Genomic DNA, 17982 nt, shown 5'->3' with positions numbered 1-17982 from the left:
ATGGCGGAGGCTGCGGCCGCCCCGCCCTCGGCCCCTCCTCCGCCCGCCCCGAGCCGCTGCCGGGACCTCGGAGGCGCCTGGCGCGCGCGCTCCCGCCCGGGCGCGTCCCCGCACGTCCCCGCCGGGGCTCCGGGAGGGGTGCGGGCGGGGAGCGCGACCCCCTGGCCAAGGTCTACCGGCAGGACGTCTCCCGTCGCCCCCATGGGAGAGGGTCCCCGCGGCCTCCAGGCTGCGCCCACGTGCGCGCAGGGTCGTCCGTCGCCCCGAGCGCCCGCTCTCCGGCCCGGGCGTGGGAGGCGCCTAGGGAGAGAGAGAGCCGGTCTGGAGTAGGCACCCGGCGGCCGGGAGGCTGGACGGCGTCTGCCCCCAAGAGCTCCCTGGCCGTGCGCGCCGCGTCAGCCCCCTTGGCAGAGCAGCGCGCCGATGAGTGTGGCCACGCTTGGAGAACGCAGCGCTGGAGCTGGCCCCAGGCGGGCAGTGGCCTCGGGCGAGGGCAGAAGGGCACTCCGGGCTGTGAATAGAACACTTGCTTATCCCTTCAGAGGACAAGCCGGTGGCAGGCCTGGAGCCCCCAGTGACGGGTTGAGCAGTGGGCAGCGAGGCAGATGGGTCCTTAAAGAGTAGCTGACGTCTTCAGTGTCAGCTTCTAGCGTGGCCTGACAGCCCCCAGCATCCCCGGAATGCCCCCCACGGTCTATCTGCTCCAATAGACTAAAAATTCCCTAAATAGAAGCACCCTTGAGGCCGCTATCAATATGGTACCTGCACAGAGTGGATGTTAAGTAAATACTTGATGAGCGAATGACAAGTGATGGGAGACTTGAAGGACAAACTTCCAGGGACAGGAAGGACAGTGCTGGGCTTTTTCTTTTGAGTTTTGGAAAGCCGTTGGGCAGTGTAATTACTGGATTAGGACCGGGCTGGAGACCAGCTTCCAGGCTAATCTCTGCGGACCTGGTGAACTTCCCCTTCTCTGTTCTAGCCTCCAGAAAGTTGCATTTGCTTCCCCTCTGCACGCTTCCTTCACCAGGTTCCTGGTATACATCCTTCACATTTCAGCGTGGGCATGCCAACAGAAAAGCCCTCAGGCTTCCCAAGATGAATCATAAAGCCCTGAGGTGTTCCCTCCCAGGACTCTGCTTAACCCCTTTCTTGCATGTACCACTGTGCTATAGAATGGGTTGTTCATTTGCAAAATGACCTCATTAAGACAGTAAGCTCTTTGAAGCTGGGGGTAGGGGTCTTATCCAATTCATCACGGCGTATTCGTGGCACATAATATGGAATGAATGAACAGATTGATTTAGGAAATAGAACCCACAAAACTCAGTGGCCAATTGGATGTGAAGGAGAGGGAAGGAGGAATCTTGAGAGACTTCCAGGTTTTCTGGCCCAAGGAATTGGGTGAGTAATAGCTGCATCCGCCAGAATAAGGCTATACAGAGGAGTTAAAGGTTGGGGGAAGATGGTCAAATGGCCTTTGGGGTAATACGGTGCAGAAACTAGAACTGGAACCATGATTCCTCTCCAGGTTGTGGTGTATCAGAGATGAGAACAGTAGATGGTGGTGTTCCCCACAAATGGCAGGGGCGGCTTGGAAGCACATGTAATTGCACGTCCTGTGTAAACCGTAACTGAAGTATTCACCTTTTTATTTTTCCTGCCCATGATTGGAGAGAGTTCTGCTGCAGGCTCTACCCTTTCAGGGATAGGATTTTAGATGCTTTCCTTTGTTTCTCCGCATTTCCACCCCTTCTTATGTCATTGAGGAATTCCTCTTTCCCCGTCCCTCTAAAAAGTCCAAGAATGCAAAAGCCTTCAGGAACCTAAAAGTTAAAAAGCCTGCCAATGGCAGCACCCCTTACAGTCCTCCTCCAGATTAGGATCCACTAGAGAGGGCTCCACCCTTAATGCAGGACATCATTTTTCCTCTCGGGTGTAAAGGTTAAGAACATGGCCAGCTCTGCAAACCACTCTCCAGGACCCAGTCCCATGCTTGTCACTTTCTAGCTTGTGACCATGGACAACTGGTTAGTCTCTTTGTAATGCACTTTGTTCATGTTTAAAATGAAGGAAATAGTGGCTCCTACTTCATAGGGTTTTTTAGGAGTCAATGAGTCAATTCAGTGTACATGGCTTTGTGTAGTGCCTGACATATAAGGGCTGGGTAAATATTTGCTCTTGACATTAGGCATTTCTTATCTGTTTCTCCGTGTCCCCCATTCATTCATTCATTCATTCAGCAAATATTTATTGGACCTCCTGTGTGCTGGTTGCTAGACACACAAAGTAGAATACATACATTACCCCTGTCCTCCCAGAGGGCACATTTCAGGAGGGCGGAGCAGCAAGCAATCAAGTTCAAGCTTTATGTGCATACCCTGATAAAGCTGGTGTGGAATAGAGGAGACAGAAGAGCTTACTTCTCTCTAGGAGGAGGGAGAGTATCTGAAAAAGCTCCAGAGAGGAAGGCACTCTTGAATTGCAACTTAGGTGTTTTCCTCATTTTCCAGTTTTTGAGGTTTGGACAGTAGTTTCGTCTGTATTCGGGCATGATTATAGAATGGTCTTGTTTTTGTCGGGATTAAGATAACCATTAAATCTTATAACAAATCTTTTTGATTTCTCATTATAGGTCACCTACAGGAATTGCTTCTCTTAGCAAGGTGAGTGCAGTGCGGGATCCAGTTAGTTGCGTCGCCCGCCGCCCCGCTGGCAGAGGCCCAATTTTGTTCAGGTGTTTGCCATCCCACATTGTTAGAGCAGACCTCTCACCAGGGCTGGAGTGACACTTGATCGGGCTAATACGGTAGGACTCACCTCTGGGTATACATTTGGAACAGCTGGGGAACTTTGAAAACTTGTTAAAATACTGTTGCCAGGAGTTGGAATTTTGTTTCCAAAGTTCCCAGGCGATTCCATTGTGCAGGCGGGGCTGAGAACTACTGGTCTAAACCAATCCCGGCAATCCCCTTCCTCTTACAGTGACTGGTTTAAGTATGGTCATGTGATACACGCCTGGCCAATGAGAAATTCTCATAGCGAGTTAAAATGGGGAACTGTGAGTACTTCTGGAAAATATTTTCCACCTGCCTCCCCCCAAAAGAAATACATCTGGCATAAAGTCTCCTCTTCCTCACTGGGTGTTATCATCTGCATCAGAATGCGGCGTTGGAGAGGGTGTCAGTGCTGTAGCCACCTTGGCACCACGGAGCTGGCCATCGTCACTGAGGCTCTGAGGATGAGAGCCCAAGGCTAGCACTCGCTCACCTGGGTCACTGGGGAGCTGTTGAGCCCCTGACGCACTAAATTAACTAATCCTGATGCCTAACGCCAAACTTCTTGCTCTGTGACATAATAAACCTCCATGCAGCAAAAGCATCCTGATCACGCCCCTCCTGCAGTTGTAGAGTTAGGTTATTGGCATCTGGTATGTTGTCTATTGCTAATTTTGGTGATACTGATGAGACAGACCTCTGATGGTGAGAATGCATTTTTCCATGGACATGTAGACATAATTGATGTTGCATTTGAAATATTGTTTCACATGTATTCAGTATTCAGTAGGCTTTGGGAATGAAGGGTAAACCTAGTTACCATTTATGATACGGTTTCAACTAGAATGTCTCTTTTAGGTTAGAAACAAACTTTAAATGAATTTCTGGAACAACCCATTTATAAAGTTAAGAACAATCTATGATCTTACAACTTTGACCTTAGAACTGGATGACCTTACAATTGGATTTTTTTTTCTTCTTTTGGTCTTAGGTGATATGCAGACCTACATCCTAAGAATAATTTTGTGGTTAATGAATATTCTGATAAAAGTTATAGTGATCCTTTTACAAAAGTTGCAATGCTTCTTAATCCTTAATCCTTGTTGGTGCTTCTCAGGTCAAGTGGAGTTGACTTTCACTGCTTCTTGGTTTCCACTCGTAATTCTTCAGATGTTATAGGGATGTAGTTCCAAGGGAAAAACCAAGCTACCTACATTGTGGTTATATTATGAAGAAAGCGTTCCAGAATACTGCCATCAGTGCCCTCCAGCCAAAGACCACTAGGAACACACTTGTTGAACTTGCGTTGAACAAGTTGTATATTGTTTACTTCAGCCAGGGAGAAGGCGCGCCTTGGGAAGTTGTGGGGAGCCTCAGTGAGGGAGTTAGAAAAGGCTTATTGGAAGACTTGAGTTTGTGTTCCATGATTTGGTGGCTTGAAGCCCTTCTCCTTGTGAAGGAGTTAAGGAAGTAAGGTTTTCCTCTGCATTTGATGATGTCATGAAGAGGTGATTTTAGGATTGGGTATTTGATTACATCTTACCTAGGAGGAGGAAAGACCAGATTGCAGTTGAAGCTGTGATTGGTAAAGAAGTGGCTGTCACTCATATTAGCCAGGAGAAGGGACTGTTTTGGATTTTGTGGTTTGGACAGTAGTTGTGTTTTGCCTGTGTTCAGGCATGGTTGGAGTGGTCTTGTTCTTGTCATGATCCATCATGGTCCCTAAGTGGTTTCACCTGATATTCTATGACACTATTTATGATCAATATGAGAATAGCCAGGCCCAGCTGTTCATGCCGGGCCAGCTCCTGGATGTCAGAGGCTGCCTAGTTTTTCCTCAATCATTAAGGTTTATTGAGTGTTTTCTATGTGATAGGCATTCTGCTAAGCACTTGACATATTCAGATCCAGTCATTCTCGAAACCTTAGGAGGTGGTATTATGATCACCCTCGTTTAACAGAGGTAGAAACAGGGACCTGCATTGCTAACTGACTTGTCCAAAGATGGGGCGTGAGTTCAGGCTGACACCAAAGCCAATGATGCTGGTAAGCACACCTTTCCACAAAACGATGTGGCTGGGCTTGGGCTGTAAGATTCAGGACTCAAGTCACTGTCACTTTATAAATAGCAAGAGTATTAACATACATGATGTCTATCTTGCAAGTTTGAAACAAAGTCCAGCAGCATGCCTATATTATGAAACCATTTAAAGTTATGTTGTAGACAGATATTTACTGACATGGAAAAACTGTGAACAGTATGGTAACAGACAAACACATTAAAAAACAGAATTTGGGTGACCTGAGGAGCTTTTTACAGCTGCAACTTTGACTCATTGAATTGAAATATCAGAGTGGGATTCCAGCATCTGTGAATTCAAAAATTGAAATTCTTGCTGTACAGATGAAGCCCAGTGTTCTGTTTCAGGTGTAAACTGAGGCAGGTACTTGTCAGGCTTTCCTGTTGTATGATCAACAACCTTAATGGCCAACATTCAGGATATAATTGGGTTCTGATGAATTCAGAGCTGTAGAATGTAGTCAGTTTGCACTTTTGTGACACTGTACTTAGGGTCAGTGGATACTTTTGAAGATGGTGAGAATGATTATTTACATCTATTGGCAAGTTTGAGTAAAGCCACCTTGGGCATAAGATTTGGCCCTGGTACAAGCTTAAAAAGTAACTTTAGGTCCTCAACCTTCTTATTCAAGATTAAACATTCAAAGCTGAGGTTTATTCCATTTAACAGAACCAAATAATAACAGCAGCTATTTATTGAGTGGCTACATGCCAACTTTTCCACATGTCATATTCTTTAGCCCTTAAACAATCCTCTAAACTAGATAATTATTATCTGCACTTAAAAACAAGAAAACTAAGGCTCAGAAATGTTAAGGGGCTTACCCAAGGTAGCACATGAATAAACGTCAGAATGGCAAGGTGTTTTCCAATCTAGTTCTATCTAATATCCATGTCCCACTTTCTCCATTTGTTAATATCCCAAGTTTTACAAGCTTTTAAAAAGGCTTATAAAACTCTAAGGAGGTTTCAAATATCTCTGTCTTTGTACAGCTATGTAATCAATGCTTTCTGCACCTGTGACATATCAAATTAGCACAAACACAGAGAATATTATTTGCATTAAAAAGGGTACTGAACTTGCAGTCATATAATCATTTTAGTCTTCATGAGATTGAGTCATATCAGCTACAAAAGCCAGATTAGAAGACTATCCTTACAGTTGAAATTCCAGAGAAATTTACACAAAATCATTTTCAAAAAGGTTCAAAATATCAAGTCGGGTTTAAAAAATGTTAACTAGATGACAACCTTCAAATGCCAAGACCTCTGAAACATTAAAGCCTATTTGAAATTTGGCAGAAGAATTTTAAAAGGAAGATTGAATGTCTTACTCACCTGAAATTTGCTTTACTTAAGACTCACATGATGTTTCTGAGTAAAACAACTGTCCTTGACTAATTTCATATAAAAATGATGATGTATTATGAACAATAAAATTACTATTAATTGTACATTATGAACTGTTGTTGAACCATGACAGGGGAACAAAATACACATAAATTGCAAATTTTGCTGTTGAAATATATTCTGGAAATTATTAGTTTCTTGGTCATATTTCAGTGAGTGACTCTTAAAAACAGTATTCTCTGTTTTTATCATATTTGAAAAGCGGCTTTGTCACCCTTGTAATTAATTTTTGTTAAGTTTTTGAAGAAAGAGTGGTAAAAAGAATCAGGCTACATTGAGTATTTATTATTAGCTTTCAGTTCTCCCAGGAACCATGGCTAGATACAGCTTCCTCTTTACTCAAATCTGTAATTAATGTTCACAAGATATCATACTGACATTGTTTTTTGTTTTGTTTGGGGGGGCAGTTTTTGTTTGTTTGCTCTTTTAGAGACAAGTGTTGCTATGTTGCCTAGGCTGCAGTGCAGTGGCTATTCACAGATACAATCATAGTGCACTACAGCCTCAAACTCCTGGCCTCAAGCCATCCTCCCACTTCAGCCTCCTGAGTAGCAGGGACTACAGGCACTTGCCACCTCACCTGGCTGACATTGTTTTTTAAAACAGAATCTCATGAGGAAATTACCATATGAGTCCATGACTAATGGATCATGAAAATATTAGCTCAATTATCAAATTAAAAATTATTGACCTAAATTATCCTTCATTCTACTTGGATTATATGTAGTAAAACCTAAACTAAAAATGGTAATTTTTAGATCAAAAGGTAACTGAAAATGATTTTCATATTTTAGTTTCCAGAGATTAATAATTTACTACAAAGATGACTTTAAAACCTTAAAAATTCTAAGAATATACAGTGACTTTTTTTATCTCACCCCAATCTTATTAAGATGATTGTCTCCAATGACAATCATCATTCAAAGTGATGACTCTGAGGTATTGTCACTTCTTTTTTTCATGCTACCCAAAGTACTGGATTCTCATCGTCATCGTGTGAATTGTGTTGTAGTGACTATATTTAGTCTGTCCTGTTAGATTTGCCATCTTCTTTATTCTGGTAGCAGATCTTTTCTTCTGACCACAAGTTGGGCAGATGGCCCAGGCGTGATCCAAGGCAATATCTCATCTCCTCACCAAGGTGATTGGGCAAAAAGGCACCTTGGTGCGATACAAGGCCAATGAGAATTATTCCATGTTCTTGCTACTTGGACACAGGGGGAAAGCAACTCAAGTGGAAAGAAAGCAGTTTATTGTTCAGGTAGGTTTCTGTCACTTGCAACCAAGAGTTCTAATGAATAGAACCTTCTGAATACCTCAAGGTGTAGCCAATATTTTATGTAGTGGTTTTCAGGAAAGCAGGAAAGTGAACCAAATTATTTTAGACATGTTTTTAACAAGGCTTGAAATAAAAGTTTCTCAAGATTTGTACCAAATCTAATTTTTCGTTTTGTTGATATCCAATAAAGTTTAATAATGAAAAAAATAAATGTTAGCTATAATGAGTGTTCTAATCCCATCTCAGGTTTGCAAATAGTTTCCTGAAAGTGGTAAACAATGAGCCTGGCTTGGGTGTACTGTTCCATACACGTTGGTATGTCGCAGTAGTAGAAAGAATGGTGAAAGACCAGTTCTCAGACAGGAACAGTAAGATTGCAAAAGAGGCTGAAGTGTGAAAATAATTCTGCTTTTCTTCACTCAGTACATGATCTCACTGTATTGGAGTAAAATGGTGACTAGTGGATCTGATTCGCAGTCACTTTGCTTTCCTGGAGGAAAGCCAGCAGTTAAACCTAGGGAGATTGCATGGACAAGGTATAAATTACTGAGAACTGTATAAACATGTTACTGAAAAGAGGTTGCACTCTTTTGTTAATTTGGACTTTCATTAATTGGACTCTGCATTAATTAATGCAAGAGGTAATGAGACCTGCAACCTTATTTTCTTAACAGTCGTGCTTCCCCACAGTCCCATCTCAACCCCGCTGATGGGGCATGTGTAACCTGCAAAATGATGACTCCCCATACCTACGTCTCTTCTCTAGTCTTCAAGTATCAGAGTGCTATCCTGTAATCATATGCTAGCCTCATATCTAGGGAATACCCAATGTATCTAAATGCAACAAGTCCAAAATGCAACTCATCACCTTTCTTCCTAAGCCTCCTGCTGTGTCTCAGTTGATGTTAGTGGCTATATCACCATCCATCCTATTGTTCAAGCTGTATATCTATCTGGATACTGCCTATTCATTTTTCTCCCTCACCCCTAACATTCAATCAGTTCTACTCCCTAAGTAGCCCTGAAAATGTGTAGTCATTCTAGACAACCGCTTTCTCTCAACCCTCTCGGTAATCCCTAACCAGGTCCTATCACATAAGTAGCTTTCTAGCTCATTAATCTTTTATTACATCTCTACTACTGCCACTCTGGTGTGAGCCACTGTCACCTCTCCTGCATCAGTGCGGAAACCTTCTAACTGGATACCTTGTATCCAACTGGACTCTGTAGCATCTTTTTGTCACATGGACTCTGTAGCATCTTTTTTTCACAGTGTGGGTAGGATGAACCATTGTAATATGTAAATCTATCATGATACTAACTGCACTGCTTTTAGTCTCCCAGGGACTTCTCTTTGCTATTAGAAAGAAATGGCATGGCTCACTAGGCAAAGTATAGTCTTGACATGGCCTTTCTCATGCCACTGTCTTCCTCTCTTGCCCTACACCACCCACACTGATCTTGTCCCAGTTCCTTTAACACCTTATCCAGAATGTTCTTCCTCTGCTCCTTTGCCTGGTTGCCACGTTGGTCTTTCCAGACCCAAAGGATAGGCTGTGGTGCTTCATTATGTCTCCACCGGTCCCTTCATTTTGTAGCCATCGTCTCAGATCATCATCACACATTCATTTGTGTGGTTGTTTAATTATTTGTCTCTTCTACTAAATTGTAACTTCGATGAGACCCAGGACTGTGTCATCTTTTGCAAACATGTATCCCCAAAGCCTAGCATTTTTTCATAGATATGACATAATAAGTGATTCAGTGTATTTGAAATAGAACTATTAATACCTCATGTATATTATGGGTTAAATAGGCTTTGAGTGCTGGAGGGTAAACCTAACCATCACTTATAAAACAGTTTAATTCAGAAACTGTAGTCTAAGTTGCCAGGCACAGTGGCTCATGCCTGTAATCCCAGAACTTTGAGTGACAGAGATTGGAGGATCACTAGAGGCCAGGAGTTCAGGACCAGCCTGGGCAACATAGTGATACCTCCATCTCTAACAAATAAAAATTTAAAAAATTAGCCAGGCCTGGTGGCACATGCCTCTAGTCCAAGCCACTCTGTAGGCTGAGGGGGAAGGATCACTTGAGTCCAGGAGTTCAAGGTTGCAGTGAGCTATGATCATACCACTGCAGCTAAGCCTCGGCGACAGAGTGAGACCTCGTCTCAAAAAAAGAGAAACTGTAGTCCAAGATGGAAAAATCAAACTGTAAATGAATTTCTGAGACTTCCCACTAAAATTGTTGGAAAATTGCCTCTGAAATTATAGCTATGTATTAGACACTGATTTTTGTTTTAGTAATGTAATAATATTCAGACTATAAGAATGTGTTTGGAGGTTAATGAATACTTGGAAAAAAGGTCTCAAATAAGATTTTATAAATATCTCTTACCCTACTTCTGAAAGCTACTCAGGAGAGCAGGGACTATGTCTATTTTTATTTATCAGAACCTTATGCCAAATGCTATGTCTGTGACATAGGAAGCACTCAATAAATATTTGTTGAATGAACAAATGCTGTTTTGTTTGTTTACTTTTGGCCATTTGCTTTGATGCAATATTTCTACCTGTATTCCTCTTTGCCTAGTTAGTTCATATTTATCTTTTATGCTTCAACTCAGGCATCGTCTCCTGTGCAAAGTCTTCACAGATGCCAACTGCCCCTGGCCAAAGGTGAGCTGGGGGCCCCTATGCGTATCTCCACATGCATCCTTCTATTATGTGTTTATCATACTGTGGGATAAATCTGTTTATGTCTCATTTTCTCCCTGTGCAATAGGAACTCCTTGAGATCCCCTCCATATCTCCAGGGACTTGTACAGTTCTGGGTACATCATAATTTCTTGAGGAAAAAAAAAAGCTTGTTAAATAAAACAATTAGCAAATATTCAGCCTTCAAAGTCCCCAGAGACTCGTTCTTGGTGCATCCTAATTGCTTCAAAATTGTTTGTTGAATGAAAAAAAATGAATCAGTGGTTCTTCAGGCTTCAAACATCATCCCAATCTCATTTTAGTTTAAATTTAAAATGTGGGCTGGGTGCCGTGGTTCATGCCTGTAATCCTAGCACTTTGGGAGGCCAAGGTGGGTGGATCACCTGAGGTCAGGAGTTAAAGACTAGCCTGGCCAACATGGTGAAACCCTGTCTCTACTAAAAAAAAAAAAAAAATATATATATATATATATATATGAAAATTAGCCAGGCATGGGTGGCGTGTGCCTGTAATCCCAGCTACTCGGGAGGCTGAGGCACAAGAATCACTTGAATTCAGGACGCAGATATTGCAGTGAGCCGAGGTTGTGCCACTGCACTCCAGCCTGGGTGCTAGAGTGAGCCACTAAATAAATAAATAAATAAATAAATAAATAAGTGACCTGAATAGCTTTAGCATAAACCCAAGTCTATATATTTTATTTCCTTTTATTTAAACACACACACACACGTGCACGCGCATGCAAATAGGCGAGATCCAAGCAGCAAAACAGAGGTACACTCCTTAAAAAATATTGGTATATGTTACATTAATATTCAAGGTGAAAATCATATGCCAGAAATTTATCAAGTACTACTGAATGTTGTTAAATTAAATAATTTAAAGGAACTCAAGGTTACCTTTTTGATAAGAAAGAGATGGATTCTCAAATGAAGTAAACTACTCATGTAATGAATATTTTAAATCTAGGGATAAAAAAATCATTACAGAACATTGCACTTAGCATGAATTATGGCAAGCTTTTCCCCTGAGATGGGGACTAAGACAGGATGCTCATTTTACCTCAATTCTATGCAATATTGAGATCTTAGTCAAAACAATAAGGCAGATAAAAGGAATTAAAGGCATAGAGATTGAAAATGAAGAAATAAAGCTATCATTATTCTCAGATGACACAATTGTCTATGTCACAAAAAAGTCCCAAAACTCTATCTGTAGATAAGCTATAAAGATACTTTGTAAGGTTGCTGTATACAAAGTCAGTTGTGTTTCTGTATGCTAGCAATAAGCAAGTAGAAAATGAAATTTGGAATAGCATTTACAACAGTATCAAAAAGGTCAAATACCTAGAATGAATCTAGTAGAAGATGTGAAAAACACATAATTATTAAGAGAAATTAAAAAAGACCTAAGTAAATGGAGGAATACATCATGTTTATAGATCAAGAAGCTTAATATTATAAAGATGCTAGCTCTCCCTAAATTGATCTATAGATTCATAAATACAATGCAATCCTAGAAGTTTTTTGAAAATTGAAAAGCAGATTCTAAAATTTGTATGGAAATGAAAAGGGCCAGAAACAGCCACCAAAATTTTGAAAAAGCAGAACAAACCTAGAGGACTTTTATCATCAGATATTGTGGCTTCTTATAAAACTGCAGTATTTAAGATGCTGTGGTACGGATGTAAGAAAAGACAAATAGATGAACTGAACAGAACAGAGCAGAGGTCCCCAGGCCCTGGGCTGCAGACTGGTACCAGTTTGTGGCCTGGCAGAAGCCAGTCTGCACAGCAGGAGGTGAGCTGCAGTCGAGCCAGCATTACCATCTGAGTTCCTCCTCCTGTCAGACCAGCATTGGCATTAGATTCTCATAGGAGCACAAACCCTATTGTGAACTGCACATGCAAGGAATCTAGGCTGTGCAGCCCTTATGAGACTCTAACTAATGCCTGATGATCTGAGGTGGAACTGTTTCATTCCAAAACCATGCCCCCCTTGACTTCCACAAAACCAGTCCCTGGTACCACAAAGATTGGGGACTGCTGGAATAGAGTCCAGTAACAGACCCACACATGCCACTTGAATTGTGAGAAGGGGGTTGCTTCAGTGCAGTGAGGCAAAGATGATCTCTTTAATAAATGGTGCTGGATCAATTGCATGTCCATATAAAAAAGGAATCTTGATCTTCTACTTCAACCATATGTAAAAATCAATTTCAGATGGATTGTAGATCTATGTATGCAAGGTTAAAACAATAAAACATCTAAACAAAAGCATGAAAGAATGTCTTCATGACTTTCAAGATAGCAAATTTTTAGACACAAAAAGCACTCATTAAAAAGAAAAAGTGGCCCCCAGAAGGGTCAATTTCTCTTTATCCAAAAAATTATCTATGGGACTATTGGATCGGTTTTACTGCCATAAACTTTTATGTGTTCATTTTTGTAATATACTATGAAAGTTTACCTGTATCTTTATACATTTTCGTTAGTCTGCCTGCCCAGACACTGCTGCAGAAAAGGAAAGTTCTGAAAGGAGTGTTCATTTCTACTTTTGGAGTTTACATTTGACCAAGTTCAGAAGGGACCTGAGGAGCAGAATAAAGTAGTGGTGGATGATGACAACAATGATGATGATAGGAAACAATTATACATACTGAACACTGTGCTAAGTACCTTATAGTATATTATCCTTTAATCTTTCCAACAATCCTGAGTTAGATATGGATACATTAATCAATTGACAGAAAAAAAATCGAGATGTGCATTTTCACATGTATGAGCATGCACGCACGTGCACACACACACACACACACACACACACATGCACACATTACATGGAGCAAGGAACCAAATGACCTGGCTTGGAATACAGGTGCAGTGGCTTATGCCTGTAATCCCAGCACTTTGGGAGGCTGAGGCAGGTGGATCACTTGAGGCCAGGAGTTCAAGACCAGCCTGGCCAACATGGTGAAACCCTGTCTCTACCAAAAATACAAAATCTATCTGGGTGTGGTGGCATGCCTATAATTCCAGCTACTCGGGTGGCTGAGGCAGGAGAATCACTTGAACTCGGAAGGCAGAGGCTGCAGTGAGCTGAGATCACACCACTGCCCTCCAGCCTGGGTGACAGAATGAGACTCATTCTCTCAAGAAAAAAAAAAAATTTGACCCTTTTGGTCTTAAAACTTGAAACTTACATTTGTGTTATGGGAGCTCCTTCCTCAGGAAGCAAAGACCTTCAGGCCTCTCAAAATAAATAAATAAATAAATAAAAGTGTCAAAGAACTAAAACTCACAAGATCAGCACATCCAGACAATTAGAGGCTGGACCCCTCATTCATGATGGTTGCTTTCTTGCCCCTCCCAGCTCCTGTTTTCTCACACATTGTTACATTTCTTCACTACTATTATAAACCCCTAGTTTTAGCTGGTCAGGGAGATGGATTTGAGACTCAGGGAGACGGATGTGAGACTGAGTTTTCATTTCCTTGGCTGCAGCACGCAATTAAAGCCTTCTTCCTTGACAGTACTCATTGTGGCTTTCTGTGTGACGAGCAGCAGCACCTAGTCCAAACCCTGGTGCTTCAGTAACAGTGGGTGCAGTTCAGAACTTGAGAGTCCTAAAGAGACCTGCACCTTTTCTATCCAGCAGTACTTTTACACCAAGGAGATAAGTTTACAAAAGTTTATATAAAATGTTACAAGTTTATATAAAACTTATATAAGTTGCAGTTAATCTATAATGTAAATTCTGCATTTTCAAAGATGTGTGTGCACCAGGAGGAGAAACACAGTGACTGAGAAACACCAAGAATAGGAATGAGAATTATGCAGTATGGTCATTTAGAGTATTCATTTATCCAGAAAGTATTTATTAGACACTAGACACTGGAGGAGATATGAGATGGCAGCACATTAGTACAGTCCCTAGCCCTATGAAGCCAAGACTAGTTGAATTGACAGATGAATTTACAAACTTAATGAAGAAAAAAATGTAATGAAAAAGGAAGTACAGAGTGCTATAGGAGGACATAGCAGGGGTGAGCAACTTCATGGCTGAAGGCCAGAGAATATCTGGAGCACAGATATTCCTCCTCCAGAGAAATTGTGCTGAAAGATAAGAAGAGATCAGAGAGGAAAAGTTGATCGTGGAGCAAATGGAAAAAGCATGTGCAAAGGTTTAGAAGATGAAAACAAAGTCCACTTTGGCTAAAGTCTAGACATCGAAGGGAGGTTCAAAAGTTGCTTAATGCCCGGCATGACATTTTTGACCACAGCTAACAATGAGAAAATATGGTCAAACATGTCACATCAGTTCACTGTGTTTGCTAAATCCTTGGATTGTGGCTAACCTAAGTCTCTTGTCTTATAAACATACCTAACATCCTTTGGACCTGCTCATTGAGATTGATAGATTAGATGTGATAACTATGTAGTTCTCTGTATTTAATCTCATGTGCCATTTTTTTCCTTGTTTATATCCCAAAGGAAAAAATACAAATAATACTGGATTAATTTTATAAACAGAAAGCTACTAGATTCCCTATAAAGACAATGTCTCTGACCAGATGGATTTGTGCTATCAAACTTACTTTTTTGGAAAACTTTTGAAATTTTCATCCAATATTGTTTAAAAAACAATTTTAGTCCAGGCGCAGTGGCTCATGCCTGTAATCCTAGCACTTTGGGAGGCCGAGGCGGGCGGATCACGAGGTCAGGAGATCAAGACGATCCTGGCTAACATGGTGAAACACCATCTCTACTAAAAATACAAAAAATTAGCCAGGCGTGGTGGTGGGCGCCTGTAGTCCCAGCTACTCCGGAGGCTGAGGCAGGAGAATGGCATGAACCCAGGAGGCGGAGCTTGCAGTGACCCAAGATCGCGCCACTGCACTCCAGCCTGGGCGACAGAGCGAGACTCTGTCTCAAAAACAAAAACAAAAAACAAAACAAAAACAACAACAACAACAAAAGATTTTAAAGGATTGTAATAAACTGATGTGGTAAAATAGTGCTTGGGACAAGCCAGGCATTCTTTTCTCACTGTTTAAACTGTATCATTTCAACTAGACCTAAATATTAATTCACTTTTATTAGCTTAATAACATTTTCCAGGCAGTTTTTAAATGAGTACTGGTTATTTTGCAAATAGGTCTCTTACAGACGTGAGACCAAAAGACATCCCCAAAAGAGCATGAAAGCAGCAAAATTGTATATTCTGTTTTTCATGTTCTTTCATAAGTGAGGATGATAAAGCTTTTAGAATAAAATACATGTATCTTCAACTTGTATACTAATTTAAATTATATGCTGTTTACATTCAGTTTATATCATATCAATGTTGTTTATACTAGATTTTAAGTTCTAGGGGGCAAAAAGTGTGGCTAATAAGTTACTGAATTATTTAATAAATTATTCTAGAAGATACATGAATATAGTGGGATTTCTCATGGATTTAGGGATAAGAATTAAAATAAAATAAATCTAAAACCCATGGCATGGCTTTGTCCTCCTAATGACCCTTCCTACAGCCTTGAGAGCATGTCACTGCTTTGACTCTCATTTTCCATATGAAAACTAAAGACAGCCGTGCATGTCACCCTCCAAACTACTAGTACTCACCAGTCTTTTAAGGACTTTACATCCTATTCCTTTCATACTATTTTTATAATTTGGAGACAAAAGCCCAGATCCTGCTGGATAATGAAACTATTTCCCAGAAAGTTATGTTAGTAGATGTGTTCTAAATTTCACCTAGTGACTTTATTTCACGCAGTAAGCAATAGAGGGGCTTTAAAAAAAATCACAACAGCTTATTAGGATAACCCACTAGAATATAGGGGTCTCTAAACTGATTTGAATCTTTAAGGCCATCTGAACTAACTGCACCTTTGAGCAAGCAGTATAACCTTTTTTAAAAAAGGGATGCTGTCTCTCCTCTTTCAACCCAATAACCTCCTCATATTCTTCAGAGGAGTGAAGCATGCATTCCATTAAAACTCCTTTCACCAAGACCTTGGTGCTAACCCAAGTAACAATTGGGTTTTCTATCTTGCTTTTCTTGGCCCTCTGGCAGCATTTACTCAGGCGCTAACTCTCGCCCTTCTGGAAACACTCCACTACCTTTGTCTCTGTTTCCCTATCTTTCCCATTGTTACTACAAGCTCTTGAGCCACTCTCTGTTTCCTTTGTACATGCCCTTCCTTTATATGCTGATAATAGTTAGGGCTTTCTTCTAGGCCTTCTTTTCTCTCACCCTAGATCAGAAGTTCTTTTTAATTTGTTTCATAAACATTTTTTGTTGGTATAATATGCTCAGTTGATAAAACTTCCAAAGATACAAAGGGTGTCAAGTGAAGAGTCTCCTTTGTATTCTGTTGACCCTCAGACACCCCATTTCTCTTTTTAAGGGAATCTCTGTTATGGATTTCTTGTGTATCCTTGCAGAGATATTTTATGTATACACACACATAGACACACACAAGATACTGTATAATACTACATACATACTGAGTCTTGCTTTTACTGTTTAATAATGTATCACGTAGATTGTTGCATATATGTATATATAGAGCTACATCTTTTGTGTGCATGTAGATGTAGAGTGTGTCTACATATGGATGTATTATAATTTATTTAACCAGCCCTCTTAGAGTTTAATGCAGGAAGTAGAAATTCACTTGCTTTCTGGTATGTAAATGAAAGGAATTAGGTGAGATGAAGTAATCGAAAGGGAAGAAAAAGTGGAAATAATGGGGTTGCCCCCGAATTACTGGTTTCAAAGTTATACAACCATAGCTGTCATCCAGAGATTCAGAAGTTGCTATCACCATGGCCACAAATGGCGTTGTCTCACCACCAAATGGCTGGTGAGTAGACCCTGGAAGATGGAAACCAACAGCCACATACATTCATACCTGTCTGACTTTGTATGCAGCCTGCATAATATCACAGAGATGGCCTTTGTCTTACTTTTAGTCTGGATGCTTTTCAACTTGGAGTCACTTTCTTGTTGTATAAGATAAACTCATGGCAGAACCTAAATAAAACAGAAAGAAGAGTGGAAAAGGATATCAAAGCCTGATTGAACAACACTGTCTAGCCATTTGGATTATTCACCATAAATATCTATCCTTCCACCTATCTTTAAATTGCAACAATATGGTCACACCTTATATTATATATTACCTTCTACAGTGAAAATATATTCATCCTCTCTCCATAAAGGGGAACCTATTCTATTAGTTGCAGAATCAAACTCTGAGTGATTTTAATTACTTTTTAAAATTAGTCACAATTGAAATTTTATGTCTTGTAACACAATGACTAAACTATAACTAAACACTATACTAATTTAGTATAAACTAAATTATACTTGTAACACCTTTATGTAAAATAAAGGTGAAGGAGAAAATGGAGAAATGAAATTTGGTTACTATATAAAGGTATATACACAAAATGGCAAGGAAACAATGTATGTAGCTACTATATTCCTTGATTTCACAACTACTCATGAGGTTTTTCTTGGTGAAATTTCTTTCTTCATTTAGCATTCTGTTTTTCCTTTGCCCTTGAATAGTATTTCAGCTGGATAGGGTTATTTATATGGTAGGACAATACAAACTAGTATGGTGTTGTTATCACTGTCATCAAACACAAACAGGTTAGATAACTAATTTTAGTTTTCCATCTTGGTGCCAAATACTGTTTTA

General features: G+C 40.5%; 1 long non-coding RNA gene across 2 annotated transcripts, besides 2 other annotated features; it reads left to right on the top strand.

The window, feature by feature from the left end:
- Nucleotides 10-159: a silencer, noted in NCBI's record as "silent region_20661". NCBI's record gives its function as "represses an Ori minimal core promoter by ATAC-STARR-seq in GM12878 lymphoblastoid cells {active_cell/tissue: GM12878}" and the evidence as "EXISTENCE:reporter gene assay evidence [ECO:0000049][PMID:35858748]".
- Nucleotides 73-7703, top strand: MSL3-DT (MSL3 divergent transcript). 2 transcript variants are annotated; one of them, XR_007068393.1, is made up of 2 exons: nt 73-1404; nt 2636-7703. It is a non-coding gene; the product is annotated as an MSL3 divergent transcript (long non-coding RNA). The 2 variants fall into 2 exon arrangements; XR_007068394.1 differs by having other exon boundaries at nt 451-2521.
- Nucleotides 180-379: a silencer, noted in NCBI's record as "silent region_20660". NCBI's record gives its function as "represses an Ori minimal core promoter by ATAC-STARR-seq in GM12878 lymphoblastoid cells {active_cell/tissue: GM12878}" and the evidence as "EXISTENCE:reporter gene assay evidence [ECO:0000049][PMID:35858748]".
- Nucleotides 7704-17982: the final 10279 nt, after the last annotated feature.

Source organism: Homo sapiens, chromosome X (genome assembly GCF_000001405.40).
Source record: "Homo sapiens chromosome X, GRCh38.p14 Primary Assembly".
NCBI classification, from domain to species: domain Eukaryota; kingdom Metazoa; phylum Chordata; class Mammalia; order Primates; family Hominidae; genus Homo; species Homo sapiens.
Note: the sequence above shows the minus strand (reverse complement) of the source record. Positions and strands in the feature narration are given on the sequence as shown.